The 13,852-nt window shown below is 51.5% G+C and overlaps 1 protein-coding gene across 1 annotated transcript in view, besides 2 other annotated features; it reads left to right on the top strand.

Moving 5' to 3' along the window:
• Positions 1–13,852, top strand: part of UBAC1 (UBA domain containing 1) — a 28,405-nt gene that overhangs the window by 1,354 nt on the left and 13,199 nt on the right. The window contains exons 2-5 of the mRNA NM_016172.3: positions 4,605–4,725; positions 6,267–6,340; positions 12,115–12,222; positions 13,649–13,751. Coding sequence (NP_057256.2) covers positions 4,605–4,725; positions 6,267–6,340; positions 12,115–12,222; positions 13,649–13,751 — 406 coding nt within the window. The remainder of the gene's footprint in view (positions 1–4,604; positions 4,726–6,266; positions 6,341–12,114; positions 12,223–13,648; positions 13,752–13,852) is intronic.
• Positions 9,403–9,686: a silencer, noted in NCBI's record as "fragment chr9:138842180-138842463 (GRCh37/hg19 assembly coordinates)". NCBI's record gives its function as "represses an EF-1alpha promoter that drives an FKBP-Casp9 reporter gene in an ReSE screen in HepG2 liver carcinoma cells {active_cell/tissue: HepG2}" and the evidence as "EXISTENCE:reporter gene assay evidence [ECO:0000049][PMID:32094911]".
• Positions 12,167–13,366: an enhancer, noted in NCBI's record as "MED14-independent group 3 enhancer chr9:138838500-138839699 (GRCh37/hg19 assembly coordinates)". NCBI's record gives its function as "activates an origin of replication core promoter dependent on BRD2, BRD4, P300/CBP and CDK7 cofactors, and independent of MED14, by STARR-seq in HCT116 cells {active_cell/tissue: HCT116}" and the evidence as "EXISTENCE:reporter gene assay evidence [ECO:0000049][PMID:35650434]".

The raw sequence follows: 13,852 nt of genomic DNA, 5'->3' as shown, positions 1-13,852 counted from the left end.
GCATACAGTACTTTCGAGTTGCTTTTGTGAGCATGGTTCTGTGGAGTTCTGGAACTGTCAGAGGCAAGCTTGGCAAGCCCCCTTCTGGAACGCACTGGCTGTGAATAACTGGGAGGTGCTGGCCTCAGGATTCACACCAAGGAGGGGGCTGAGCCTCCTGCGTTCAAGGGCCGGTATGTTTTGGCTGCTTTCTTGCTTTTCTTCTGCCCCAGTCTGCATGATTTTGCCGTCTGAACAACCATCGGGGCATCACTAAGCTCCAGCGCCGGTAACTCCGTGGGCATCCAGGCTGTTTGAGCCAGGTGGTGTTGCTTGTCTAGTTGTGTGTATTTTAAAAAACTTCTCTGGGCCGGGCACGGTAACTCACACTTGTAATCCCAGCACTTTGGGAGGCCGAGGTGGGCGGATTATGAGGTCAGGAGATTGAGGCCATCTTGGCCAACATGGTGAAACCCCGTCTCAACTAAAATACAAAAAATTAGCGGGGCGTGGTGGTGTGTGCCTGTAATCCCAGCTACTTGGGAGGCTGAGGCAGGGTAATCGCTTGAACCCGGGAGGCGGAGGTTGCAGTGAGATGAGATCGCGCCACTGCACTCCAGCCTGGCGACAGAGCAAGACTCCGTCTCAAAAAAAAAAAAAAAAAAAAACCAGACAAAAAACCCTAGAAACTTCTCTGAGGTGCTGCTGTGTCCTCCCTGAGCCAGTACAGAAGCTCCTCAGGGGTTCGGTTTATATCCACAAGTCCAGGGCCGGGCTTAGAGTGGCACCAAAACAAACTTGTGGGTTAATGGAATAGACAAAAATATCCTGTGGACCCCACACTGCATCGACATGGGATGTCCCCTGCGTTGGCACGGCATTTACTTTAACTCACTCGGTGCGATGTGCATGGCCATCATGATACTCTTTTATGAAAGGAAATAGGAAATGAGAGCTGTTTGATCCACAGATACCTACTCATGAATTTCAGGAGCACGGAGGGTCAGTTAGGCAGCCAGTTCCGATGCAATGCTAATTATTATACTCCTGATATATATTATTCCATTTGGTGTTGAGATGTATCATTTGGGATGTTTTGTCATTATTCTACTTTAAATTGAGATTGTATCCCACTCTGCGGTTTCCACAGGTGTGGAGGATCTGAGTAGCAGGGGATTTTCACACCGCAAGAGCCGACATACATTTCAGGACTCCAGAGCTGAGCGTCAGAAAGGTTCCCCACCACCACATCCCAGCGTGGTTCTGCAGGCAGGGCCAGAATGCGTTAGTCAGAAAAGAGAACCCTCGAGTTGTGTATTTGAATGTCTCTCTGGAAGCCGGTCCCTGGATGTCATCCTGCTGTAGGCAGTGAGGTCTGGTGTCTGTTTTAGCTTTGTTCCTCCTCGCCAGGTCCCCAGTGCGTGCTGACGCCGGCATGATTTTTTCCTTCCTCTTTTCCATCTGCCTGGAGGGGAATGATGTCGGCTTCTCCCTGCTGTGCTCCTGGGTGTGCACTCCTGAATCAAGGAGGGGTTTTATGATCAAAACTCTTGCTTTTGCCTTTCCCTTTTCTGTTTTGTGCAAATTGGGATCACCGTGGTGGCCTCTAGCTTCCATTGCCCTGGAGTGGAGAAGGGGGCAGAGGAACCTGTCTTGTACAACAGGTAGTTAATGAGTTTTAGAAAATTATACCTGGCTGAGCACGGTGGCTCATGCCTGTAATCCCAGTACTTTGGGAGGCCAAGACAGGCAGATCACAAGGTCAGGAGATCGAGACCATTCTGGCTAACACAGTGAAACCCCATCTTTACTAAAAATACAGAAAAATTAGCCGGGCGTGGTGGCGGGCACCTGTAGTCCCAGCTACTCGGGAGGCTGAGACAGGAGAATGGTGTGAACCTGGGAGGTGGGACTTGCAGTGAGCCGAGATCAAGCCACTGCACTCCAGCCTGGGCGACGGAGAGAGACTCCGTCTCAAAAAAAAAAAAAAAGAAAATTATACCTGTGGTGCAGTAGAGTTTTTGGTGTGTCGTAAACATTCATGAAATTCCAGCCTGGCCAACATGGCAATACCCCTTCTGTACTAAAAATGTAAAAAAATAGCCTGGCATGGTCGCGGACTCCTGTAATCCCACCTACTCAGGAGGCTGAGGCACAAGAATCGCTTGAACCTGGGAAGCGGAGGTTGCAATAAGCGGAGATCGCGCCACTGCACTCCAGCCTGGGTGACAGAATGAGACCCTGTCTTTAAAAAAAAAAAAAAAAAAAGAAGGAGTTCATAAAATTGCCAGACTAGAAGAGAGTACCCGCTAGTATAGCTGTTAAATTTTCCATTTCCTAGATCGCATGAAGATGGGTCCTCAGATGGCAGGTTGCATCAGGTACAAGCAGAAACGAAGTCACTACTCTTCTGGGGAGGAGCAGGATGGAGTGGGGTGGGGGTGTGAGGGCCTCCCTACTCCAGCGGCCTTGGTTGGGGCTTTTTTGCTGCCATACCCCAGCTTCTGCCGAGAACAAAGAAGCAGAGTGACACGGTCGTCCTAGTGCTTCCGTGTTGTTCCTGGTGTGCTGGTGACACGTGGACTGTGGGTTTTTTGGGAATCAGTATGAGAATTATTTTGGAAAACTGCATTTCGTAGTCTGTATTCTGAACTTGACAAATGAACTAGCCTGCAAACTTTAGGATCATGAGGAAGCACCCCCAGTATTTCAGGGAGCAGAGCCATTGTCAAATCCAGAGGCACTTGAGGGTTCTCTGCCCTGTTGTAAATGGCAGGAGTGTGTCTTCCTAGTAGCTGCGTCCCCCCAACATCCCCTCAGCCTGGCCAGTTTTGTGTGAAGGAGTGAGCCCCTGAAGCCGTCAATCCCTTTTTCAAAACCGTTTTCAGTCTTGAGAGTAACAGAAATTCCAGTTACTCTGAAAATGCCAGTGTTGAGAGGTGAAGTGTGTGCTTAGATTTTCTTTCCCAGCAAGCAGTTGTGTGTGCTGGGTGTTTCAGAGCCTCTGTGGCAGCAAAGGGTGGTGGAAAGTGAGCTGCCAGCAGGGCGTCTGCCCGGCCACCTGAGACGTCCGAGGACGGCCTGTCCTGGGGTGGTGCCCCGGCCCAGCTCCAGGCTGGGCCATGCTCCTGACCCACAGGCTGAGCCTGCTACCGGGTTTAGAAAGTGCCCAGTGAGGGTTTCATCCTTTTCTGATAGTCAGGTAATTCTACCATCAAACCTCAGGGGATCTGTAAGAGCAAGAAAATAGTCAGCCTTCTCTCCGTCCAAGCTCTGAGTTCTGAAGGGTTTTCAGGCCAGGCTATGGAAACTGTGGGTATTTTGTGAAACACAGAAGTGCAGCCCCTCTCCTCTCACCCCACGATTCCGGCTGGGGAGGCGCCATATTTGGTTAGGTGGGCACTGTTTGGTGTGGTGTGCGGTGCTGTGCTGTGCGGTGGTGTGCTGTGCTGTGCTGTCGTGTGTCGGGCTGTATGGTGCTGAGGTAGATAATAGAGTGGAGTCGTGGAGCTCTGGACCGACTTGGGCACGAACATGCAGGCACATGTGCCGACCTCAGTCTTCATCACACGGCACCATCAGTGTTTGCCATTCTTCACAAAATGGTGAGCCGACGCGCCTAGCCCCCGTGTTCAAAGGAAAGCAGGACTCCCGCAAGCCAGTGCCACGTGCATGAATCAGGGACAGCTGTGTGCTGTTTTGCAGAGAGGATGCTGGCCGAATTGAGGAGCAGGATCTACCCCTGCCAGCAGTTGGCTGTGAGATCTTTGTAATGGCAGGGTTGGAAGGGGTCATGGCCGTCTGCTCCAACTTCCTCCTGGAGTTTGCACTCAGTAGCTGTCAAGATGGCTTCCCAGGTCCCCCGTGAGCGCTGCTCGGAGGTGGCTGTGGTGTGTGTGAAGGGGATCCCCTCACTGCTACCCATGTGTTGCCTCCCGTTCCCTGCCCGGGTGTGGCAGGGTTTCCAGGGCCCTGGTGACTGCGTGCCCATTGGTCCACCTTCAAGCCGCCCAGGGGTGCAGCATGGCTGTTGCTTCGTGAGCTGGGCCACGCCGAGAGCAGTCATGCTAAGTGCCCCTCTTATCCCAATCTCGGGATGCAGCATGGCTGTTACTTAGTGAGCTGAGCCAAGCTGAGAGCAGTCATGCCGAGCGCTCCTCTTATCCCCATCTCAGGCTCTCTGTGAGCCAGTCTTCTTTCTGGGCAGCCTTTCTGGCCCCTTTCATGCGTCTGTGGAAAAAAGAAAAACAGCTACCCAAAACTTAGGTAGATCTTTAGGTCATCAGGAAACAATGGATCTGCTGTTTTCATTTAAAATTATTTTCCAGATCTTTCTAGACCAAAGAAGCAATTCTGGTGGCCGCGAATTGTCAGTAGGGTGTGGTATATCAGAGCTGGGAGCTTGCTTCAGGAGTACTCCATGGGCTGGGGATCAGCTCACTGGTGCTATGATGCTTCATTTGGCATCTACCATTAGTGGGAATTCTTTAATTTCATCCATGGTGTAATTTCTTAGCTCATAAGAAAACCCAGTAAATTCCTGGTGTAGCTTGGGATGCCAGGTCCTATATTATTAGAATTACGATTTACTTATTTTCTACCTTGAAATTTCTATTTTTCCCCAGTGTGCTCATGGGAGCTTAGAAGATCCCAAAAGTATAACCCATCATAAATTAATCCACGCTGCCTCAGAGAGGGTGCTGAGTGATGCCAGGACCATCCTGGAAGAGAACATCCAGGACCAAGGTAAGGCTGCTGTGGGCGGGCGGGTTGGCAGCAGGCATCGTGCACTGCTGGGGGCGCTGGAGCCAGGAGGGGGTGGTCCACCCACAGGAGTCAGTGTTCTGAGCTGGACACGAGCACAAAAACGAGATCGACTAAAAGCATTCTGTTTTTCCTTTATTAAAAAGAGTTCTGTTATAGAGTATTTGTGAAAAACAGCAGAAATTGAAATTGAACAAGCAGCAGGCATTTGAGAAGCCAAATGTGAATTTTGCTTTTAGTTCTGTTTCAGAGCAAAGCCAGAGACTCCAGGGGTTCTGCAGGTTTCACCTTCGTTGTGGTGATGTTGGCATCCCAGTGCAGTGTTAGACACACACATCCATGTAATTGCTTATGGTTTTGTGTCTGGAGGCACTTGAAGAGCAGACATCAGTTTTGTCTGTGTCATTCAAATAATGCCTTTAATTGTGGAAGTCCTTGAAGTAAGCTGTTTTGAAAATCCTGGAAGTATTGCTAACAGATATCCGCTGAGATGACCATCAAGCTCCAAGCCAGTGGGGGATGGGCACCGTCGTGGGCCGAGGATGAGCTGCATCTCAGGTTTTGACCTCTGAGGGTTAAGACTAAACTCTCCACCCTCACAGACTTTTTCAGAACTGAGCCGGTTAAAATGCCTGTTGCAGGATTGTCACCAATTCTTTGCACAATTATTGGGGCCGTGCTGTGCCTGCCTCCTGGGCCATGGGTCACCTGGGGGTTCGTGCCAGGCCTGGGAGCTTGTACCTCAGCTAGGGCCATGCAGATATCATGCAAAAGTGAGGGAAGGCTGGTGTAGATGCTTGGTTTGGGGGGACCAAAGGAACCCATGCTCTTTTGAGACAGGGTGTCGCTCAGTCACCCAGGCTGGAGTGCAGAGGCACAGTCAGGCTCACTGTTGCCTTGACCTCCTGGGCTCAAGCAGTCCTCCCACCTCAGTCTCCCAAGTAGCTGGGACTACGGGCATGTGCCACCATGCGCAACTATTTTTTATATTTTCGTAGAGATGGGGTCTCGCCATGTTGTCCAGGCTGGTCTTGAACTCCTGGGCTCAAGTGATCCGCCTGCCTCGTGCTGGGATTACAGGAGTGAGCCACTGCACCCAGCTGAAGCCCTGCTCTTCTTCTTTTTTTTTTTTTTTTTTAAGATGAAGTCTTGCTCTGTTGCCCAGGCTGGAGTGCAGTGGTGCAATCTTGGCTCAGTGCAACCTCCGCCTCCCAGGTTCAAGTGATTCTCCTGCCTCAGCCTCCCCAGTAGCTGGGATTACAGGCATGCGCCACCACGCCTGGCTAATTTTTGTATTTTTAGTAGAGATGGGGTTTCACCGTGTTGGCCAGGCTTGTCTTGAACACCTGACCTCAGGTAATTTGCCCGCCTCAGCCTCCCAAAGTGCTGGGATTACAGATGGGAGCCACTGCGCCCGGCCGAATCCCTGCTGTTCTGTTCTCAGGGCATCCAGCACCCTTTATGCCATTTTGTGGATATGAAGTGATAACCAGTGTGTTGGATATACGTGTTGTTTTTTCTAGATGTCCTATTATTGATAAAAAAGCGTGCTCCATCACCACTTCCCAAGATGGCTGATGTCTCAGCAGAAGAAAAGGTAAATTTCAAAGTTTGCAATTGGGGACCTTGGTTGGTAGAAGTCTACATTTAAGAATTACAGGCTGGGTACAGTGGCTCGCGCCTGTAATCCCAGCACTTTGGGAGGCCGAGGCGGGTGGATCACGAGGTCAAGAGATCAAGACCATCCTGGCAAATATGGTGAAACCCCGGCTCTACTAAAAATACAAAAAAAATTAGCTGGGCATGGTGGCTCATGCCTGTAGTCCCAGCAGCTCAGGAGGCTGAGGCAGGAGAATCTCTTGAACCCGGGAGGCAGAGGTTGCAGTGAGCCGAGATCGTGCCACTGCACTCCAGCCTGGCGACAGAGTAAGACTCCATCTCAAAATTAAATAAATAAATACAAACTTAAAAAAAAAAGAATTATAAAGAAGTTCTCTATACTAGTTGTTCACCAACCCACGCATTCGCCATTTACAGTAGATGTGGTTATAAGGGGTTCTCTCTCCCGGCAGAGCCTGTTTAATCCGTGTCAGTCCTGGTCCCTCCCTGCTCACGGGACCAGCACGGAAAACCTGCCTCTGAGTTTTCTGAGACAGAGAGGAGGGTAGGGACACATCCTGCGTGACGGTTCACTCCCGCGCTGCTGTCCGCCTTCACCTGCGTGTGCTCCTGTTCCCTCCTCTTTTCAAGCAGCCAAGTCAGTCCTGACAGAAAAACGGAGGAAAGTGGGTAACCAACCACCACACAGAATAAGGGCTGCGCATGCAGAGAGTGGCCGGTGAGGGAGCACTCGCGACAAGCCCCACCTCACACCGCACAGCCTCAGCATCCCCATCGGAAAATCCAAACGCAGAAATGCAGCGCAGTCTGAAACTTTTTGAGTGCCAAAATGACACTTAATGGAAGTGCTCGTTGGTGCTTTTTGAGTTGATTATTTGGAATGCAAATATTCCCAAATCTGAAAAAACCCGAAATCCGAAACAGTTCTGGTCCCGGGCATTTCAGATGAGGGATACTCAGCTGCACTGTTAATGCTGAGAGAGGCTGAGTTCTGCCTGTCTTGTCTATTTCTTGCAAAACAGAACTGGATGTCGTTGGTGTTTACATTCACTCACACGTTATTGATTCATGGTCTGCACCGTCCACTTGCACGTGTACCTTAGGAACACCGTGCAGTGTGTTGTTTACTGGCTGCCCTAGAAGCTCATGTTTTGGAAAGCTCACTGAGCAGAGGAAGATGCGTTCTGCAAGTGGCGTGTCCTACCCCACAGCAGGGCCTGAGCCCGTGCCGAGCATGGAGCCTGCCAGCTAGAAGGGCAGCCACTTTCCTCTGCTGTCTTTGCATTACTCATCTCAAGGGTAGAATTTCTTACTCGTGCTTTGAAAGGCTAAGGAGAGTGTTCACCCCAGAGAAAGAGCAGGTCAAACTCTTTTGGGCTAGGCCCATGCCTGGTAGTGCATAAGCTATTTTTGGGTTTCATCTGGGACCATGGGTACCCAGGAAGAGCACCCTGGGCTTGGGTCCCCTCCTTATCTTCAGCCACACCTGGCCACGCATGAGTGACACACAGGCTGCCGCCCCACCCATCTGCAGCGGACAGATCTGGGCCTGCCTCCGCCTGTCCCTGAGTCAGGCCTGTTTCTGGGAACTGCTGCAGGCAGCATTCACAGTTCTCAGATTACAGTTTGACCGTTGGTGTTCAGACTTACAGGCCCGTAACTAATATAAACAGCGGGGTCTGACCATACACCCGTTGCCCCACAGCCTCTTGGATGGGTAGCTTGGAGCTAACCTGAGGAGCTTACCTTTTCTCTTCAAATATTTGCAAACTGAAACATTGTAAGATGTCAGTTCATATTTTTATGAATTAATTATTATTATTTTTATTATTATTTTATTATTTTTGAGACAGAGTTTCGCTTTTGTTACCCAAGCTAGAGTGCAGTGGCGTGATCTCAGCTCACTGCAACCTCCGCCTTCCAGGTTCAAACGATTCTCCTGCCTCAGCCTCCCAAGTAGCTGGGGTTACAAGTGCGTGCCACCACGCCCGGCTAATCTTTTGTATTTTTAGTAGAGATGGGGTTTCACCATGTTGGCCAGGCTGGTCTCGATCTCCTGACCTCGGGTGATCCACCTGCCTCGGCCTCCCAAAGTGCTAGGATTACAGGCATGAGCCATTGCGCCTGGCCTACATTAATTTTTAATTTAGTTTTTGTTTTTGTTTTAGAGACAGGATCTCACTCTGTTGCCCAGGCTGCAGTGCAGTGGTACAATTATAACTCACTGCAACCTTGACCTCCTGGGCTCAAGCAGTCCTCCTGCCTCAGCCTCCCGAGTAGCTGGGACCACAGGTGTGTGCCACCACACCCAGATAATTTTTGTATTTATGAATTAATTTTTAAGTCAAAGTGACGTATGTTTTTAAAAGGTCGAATAATACTACAAATCTTTTAATAAAAATTAGCAGTCTTGGCTGGGTGCGGTGGCCCACGCCTGTAGTCCCAGCACTTTGGGAGGCTGAGGTGGGAGGATCACTTGAGTCCAGGAATTTGAGACCAGCCTGGGCAGCATGATGAAACCCTGTCTCTACAAAAAATATAAAAAGTTAGTTAGGCTTGTTGGCACAAGCCAGGCAGTGCACACCAGGCTGGAGTGTGTGGTACGATCTCACCTCACTGCAGCCTCTGCCTCCTGGGCTTAAGTGATCCTTCTCCCTTAGCCCCAGGAGTAAAGCAGCTGGGACTATAGGTGTGTGCCACCACACCTGACTAATTTTTGTATTTTTTGTAGACATGGGGTCTCACCGTGTTGCCCAGGCTGGTCTTGAACTCCTGGGCTCAGGTGGTCTGTTCACCTTGGTCTCCCAAGTGTTGGGATTACAGGCGTGAACCACCATGCCCGGCCCAACCACTCATAACTCTTGTTATTTTTAACAATTCTCTTCCTGATTTATAAATAATATGTGTATATTATTATTCCTTGAATGACCAACTTTAGTCTCTATTGACTTCTTAATGAAGAGGCTATAGTACCTCCCTCTCTCCTCCCTTGAGGGTTAGATCATAATGTTGAAGATCTCAGGGTTTTCATTACTAGTATAATTGAAGTGTGGTTTTCAGCTGTGAGCAAAATAGATTAAGATTATCTATCCTTCTTACACAGCTGTATTTTTCCTGGAATTAATATTTGCCTCTTCCTTTTGTTTGCTTGTTGAGTTTCTTATAGGCTTATCGCTGATTTTTTCATGCTCTTCCACAGAGCCGATAAAGCTTCTGGAAACGTGGTCACAGATGTTAGGTCACTGGGGTGTTCCCTCCCTCCAGATCCCTCTGGCCTGCGCATCTGTCTGAGTCGCTGCCTTCCAGGCCTGCTGCACAGCCTGGCTTTCCTGCCTCTTTCCCGTGTTAGAGTTTGCTAAGTCTATGCAAGTTTTCCGTTGCCACCTAACAAATCGCCACACATGTAGCTGCTTAAAACAGCACTCCGCTTGTAGCTCGCAGTTCTGTAGGGCAGAAGTCTGGCTGGGTGAGCTCAGCTGGTTTCTGTGCTCAGGGTCTCGAGCTGAAATCAGGGTGCCGGAGGGCTGTGTTCAGGGTGCTGAAGGGCTGCCTTCCTTTCTGAGGCTGGGGAAGATTCTGCTTCTGAGGTCTTCCGGCGGTTGGCAGAGTCCAGTTCCGACCCATTTTCTTGCTGGCGGCCAGCTGGGGGCTGCTCTCAGGGCCTGGGCGCGGCCTGCATTCCTACCCGCACAGCCTCCTCCTCCTTCAGAGCCAGCAACAGGACTTCTGAAGTGTTGAATCTCTCTTTCCAGAAAGAGACCCATCCCTTTTAAGGACCTGCCTGATTAGTTGAGGCCCACCAAGGATCATACTCTTTCCCCACAGTCGGCTGTGCCGCGTGATGTAACCTGACCCCAGAGTGGACTGTGTCCTGCTCATGCTGTGCAGCCACGCACGGGCAACTGCCAGGCCCGGGGAGCGTGCGGCCGTCCTCGAGTTCTGCCTGCCGCAGGACCAGGTGTCTTGTTCTTCTCGATCTGTCCCTTGGTCTGGTGGAGCCTGACTTCCTCGGGTGCCAGGAGGGGAAACTGTCTGGAGGCCTCGTATTCCAGCGCAGCAGCTGTGGAGGGGGTGCCAGCCGTATGCAGTACGTGAGGCAGCTCTGAGCCGCTCCTCCCTGCACCAGCCGCCTCCCCTTCCTCTGCTCCTTGTAGAACCTTCTGCCATCTGGTGTGCTTTAGTGTTCTGGAATATTCCATGGTGTCTCTGCTGCAGGTCTTTTTCTCTTTGCTATGTCCGGCACATTGACTCTGGAGATTCAGATGTTTGAGTTCTGGGAAATTTAGTCCTGGAAAATGTTCTGAATTGGTTTTTTGATCTCCTTGTTTTCTTTTCTCTTTCTGTAACTCTTATGAGTTGGCTGGTAGGCGTGTTTTCTGAGGGATTCCTTGATTTTATCTTCTAAGCATTCTGTAGCCTCTTTGATCTGGCTGTAACATGTTTAAATTCCTAGGCCAGTTCTCCTCCTCAGATGATGTCTTCTAGTGTTCTGGTGTGTTCCTCCGTGGGCCGTCTGTCCTGGCTCATAAACACTATCCTCTTCCCTGCTGACTCCTCACTTTGTGCTGCTTTCTGTTGTTCCTTTTTTTTTTTTTTTGAGATGGTGTCTCACTGTCACTCACCCAGGCTTGAGTGCGGTGGTGTGATCTCAGCTCACCTCCCAGGTTCAAGTGATTCTCCTGCCTCAGCCTCCCGGGTAGCTGGGATTACAGGTGTGCACCAGGACACCGGGCTTATTTTTGTCTTTTTAGTAGAGATGGGGTTTCACCATGTTGGCCATGCTGGTCTCGAACTCCTGACCCCAAGTAATTCACCCACCTTGGCCTCCCAAAGTGCTGGGATTACAGGCATGTGTCACCTTCCAGAGGCCCTGGATCTTGATAGCAGCGCTTTGGGACTGGGTGGCTGGCTGGGGCACTGCGCTTTGGGTGTGGACCCTGCCATTTTGCCCCCTCCCACCTCTTGGCTGTGTCTGCCCCGCTCCCCTGCCACTGGGTCTCCCTGTGGAGGGTGCTGGGGTGCCGCTTTCCCTCTCATGAGCCTAGGGCTCCTGGCCCGGGGTCTCAAGCCCAGCTCTCTGGGAGTTGCCGGCAGGACTGGATGGCAGGGGAGCACAGGGCAGGGTGGCGGGGGATGGAGCGCTAGCTCCTGAGGCTCGCTCCTTGTCCCCTGCCACCGATGCAGTTCTAGGAGGCTGGAATGGTCTTGCGTCCATGCTCTGCTCTTGGCCTGAGCCTTTGTAGCTCCGCTGATCCCTCCATCCTCGTCCTCTGCCGTCTTCTGAGAATGTGCTGTCACTCTTCCGGTTCTGTTCCTCTCCCATCACTTTTGTTCTCGTGAGTTTCTACTGCCATGACTGCCCTTCAGGAGCTTCCAGAAGGAGCAGAGATGAGTTCGTGGTTTTGGCCTCGGGGCTCAGCTGCAGCCTGGGTGGTTCTTCTGGAGTCGCCTCCCTTGCCCCAGCCCTGCCACGGTCCCTGTGTGGTTGTCGTTCTGTGACCCTTGCTCCTGCTCTGCCCCTCACCTACCGCTTCACTCTTATTTACGTCAGAGCAGACGCTGAGGACACGTCTGCTGTCCCTGGGCCTTGCACAGAACTCTCCAGGCTCCCCCAGCTCATCAAGGAGTTTACACCTCTGGCTCCTAAAGGAGACGGAGTCTTTCTTGGGCAGAGCTCCGCTGATTCAGTTGTCATCGTCTTTTTGCTGCTCTTACGTTCACCTCAGACTTTCTGATTACGTTTCTGTGTAGAAAAAACAAGACCAGAAAGCTCCAGATAAAGAGGCCATACTGCGGGCCACCGCCAACCTGCCCTCCTACAACATGGACCGGGCCGCGGTCCAGACCAACATGAGAGACGTGAGTGTCAGCCCAGAGCGGCGGCGGGTGCATGGGGTCCCCGTGTGGGGGATTGCTGTGGGGGGGTTCCTGCGGGGCGGGGCAGCAAGAGGAGATTCTCTGGGAGGATTTGGGGAAGCCGGTGAGCGGGTCTGTAGGACTGCACTATTTTGCATTTTTTCTGTAAATCAAAAATTATTTCCAAGTAAGAGTTGGAAAGCCATCTGAAGGCAGGATTGAAAAGATAGATACCCCTGGGAAAACGTCAATCCGGCCCTGAGTTTGGCAAAACGTTTAGATAGAATTCTGAACCCGAAGCGGGTGGATCACCTGAGGTCAGAAGTTCGAGACCAGCCTGGCCAACATGATGAAACTCCGTCTCTACTAAAAATACCAAAAATTAGCCGGGCGTAGTGGCAGGCACCTGTAATCCCAGCTATTCAGGAGGCTGAGACAGGAGAATCACTTGAACCCGGGAGGCGGAGGTTGCAGTAAGCCGAGATTGCATCATCGTACTCCAGCCTCGGCAGCAAGAGCGAAACTCCGTCTCAAGAAAAAAAAAAACACACAAATCTGAACCCGTGAGTTATTTTGGGTCAGAACATTCTAAGTTAAAAAAGAAAAGTGTTTGCAGTGCTCACGTGGACGCCGCAGCAGGCAGGGCAGGCACGTGCTGTGCCGGGGTGGGAGGACGGCTGGCTTCCAACTTCATCTGATGCCAGTCCAACCTAAGGGCACTGCTATAAGCCCTGTTTCATTTTAGGAATGAACCTCTTGGGGTGTCTTCCAGAGAGTTCTGTGCTGACCAGGGCATGGTGGCTTTTCCCCAGCAGCCAGCATGTGTGTCTCCCATCCTGTGTGTGTCCGGCTCAGAGGTATTTCTCTAGTGTGGTGTCCGCACCAAGGCTCACACTTGTGTGAGAGTAGGGACAGCTGACGCCTGACCTCTAGGCCCTGTAGCCAGGAGCTGTTCTGGAGGGCATCTCCGGTCCATCCCACGGCTCCTCCTGCCTGGGGAGGACAGTGATGGCCGCCGCAGACGCTGTGTGGCAGCCATGCCTCCACTGGGGGCTGGCAGACTCATGGGGGTGGAGCCTCAGATGATTCTGTTTTCTTCAGTGAAGCCAGAGAGGGTCTTCAGCTTGCCCTGCACCTGCGCCAGCTGGGCCGACGGTTTCCTCACAGGGCACAGGCTGAGTATCGGGCCAGCACTGAGTGACCGTCACCAGGCGTTCCTGTCCCTTTCCACTGGCTTCAGTCCCACCTGCAGGGAGGCTCTTGGCCCTGCCAATCCCCTGCCTTGCCCTCAGCTGATCCTGCTGTCTTGCAAGAAAGCAATGTCATCTCAACTCTCAGAATCAAGAGTTCTAGGACAGGGGAGCAAGTCATAGATCCAAGTAGGTTTGGTGGACATTTAGAGAATTGATCTCCTTTTTTTTCACCACAGTTCCAGACAGAACTCCGGAAGATACTGGTGTCTCTCATCGAGGTGGCGCAGAAGCTGTTAGCGCTGAACCCAGATGCAGTGGAATTGTTTAAGAAGGCGAATGGTATGAGTCAACCCCGATGCTGCATTCCAGGGCGGTTCACTGCCGGCCTTGGGGAGCGTCTGCAGCTCCACGCACTGACCACTGACCGGAACCTCAGTGCT

This window comes from Homo sapiens, chromosome 9, assembly GCF_000001405.40.
Source record: "Homo sapiens chromosome 9, GRCh38.p14 Primary Assembly".
Classification (NCBI taxonomy): domain Eukaryota; kingdom Metazoa; phylum Chordata; class Mammalia; order Primates; family Hominidae; genus Homo; species Homo sapiens.
Note: the sequence above shows the minus strand (reverse complement) of the source record. Positions and strands in the feature narration are given on the sequence as shown.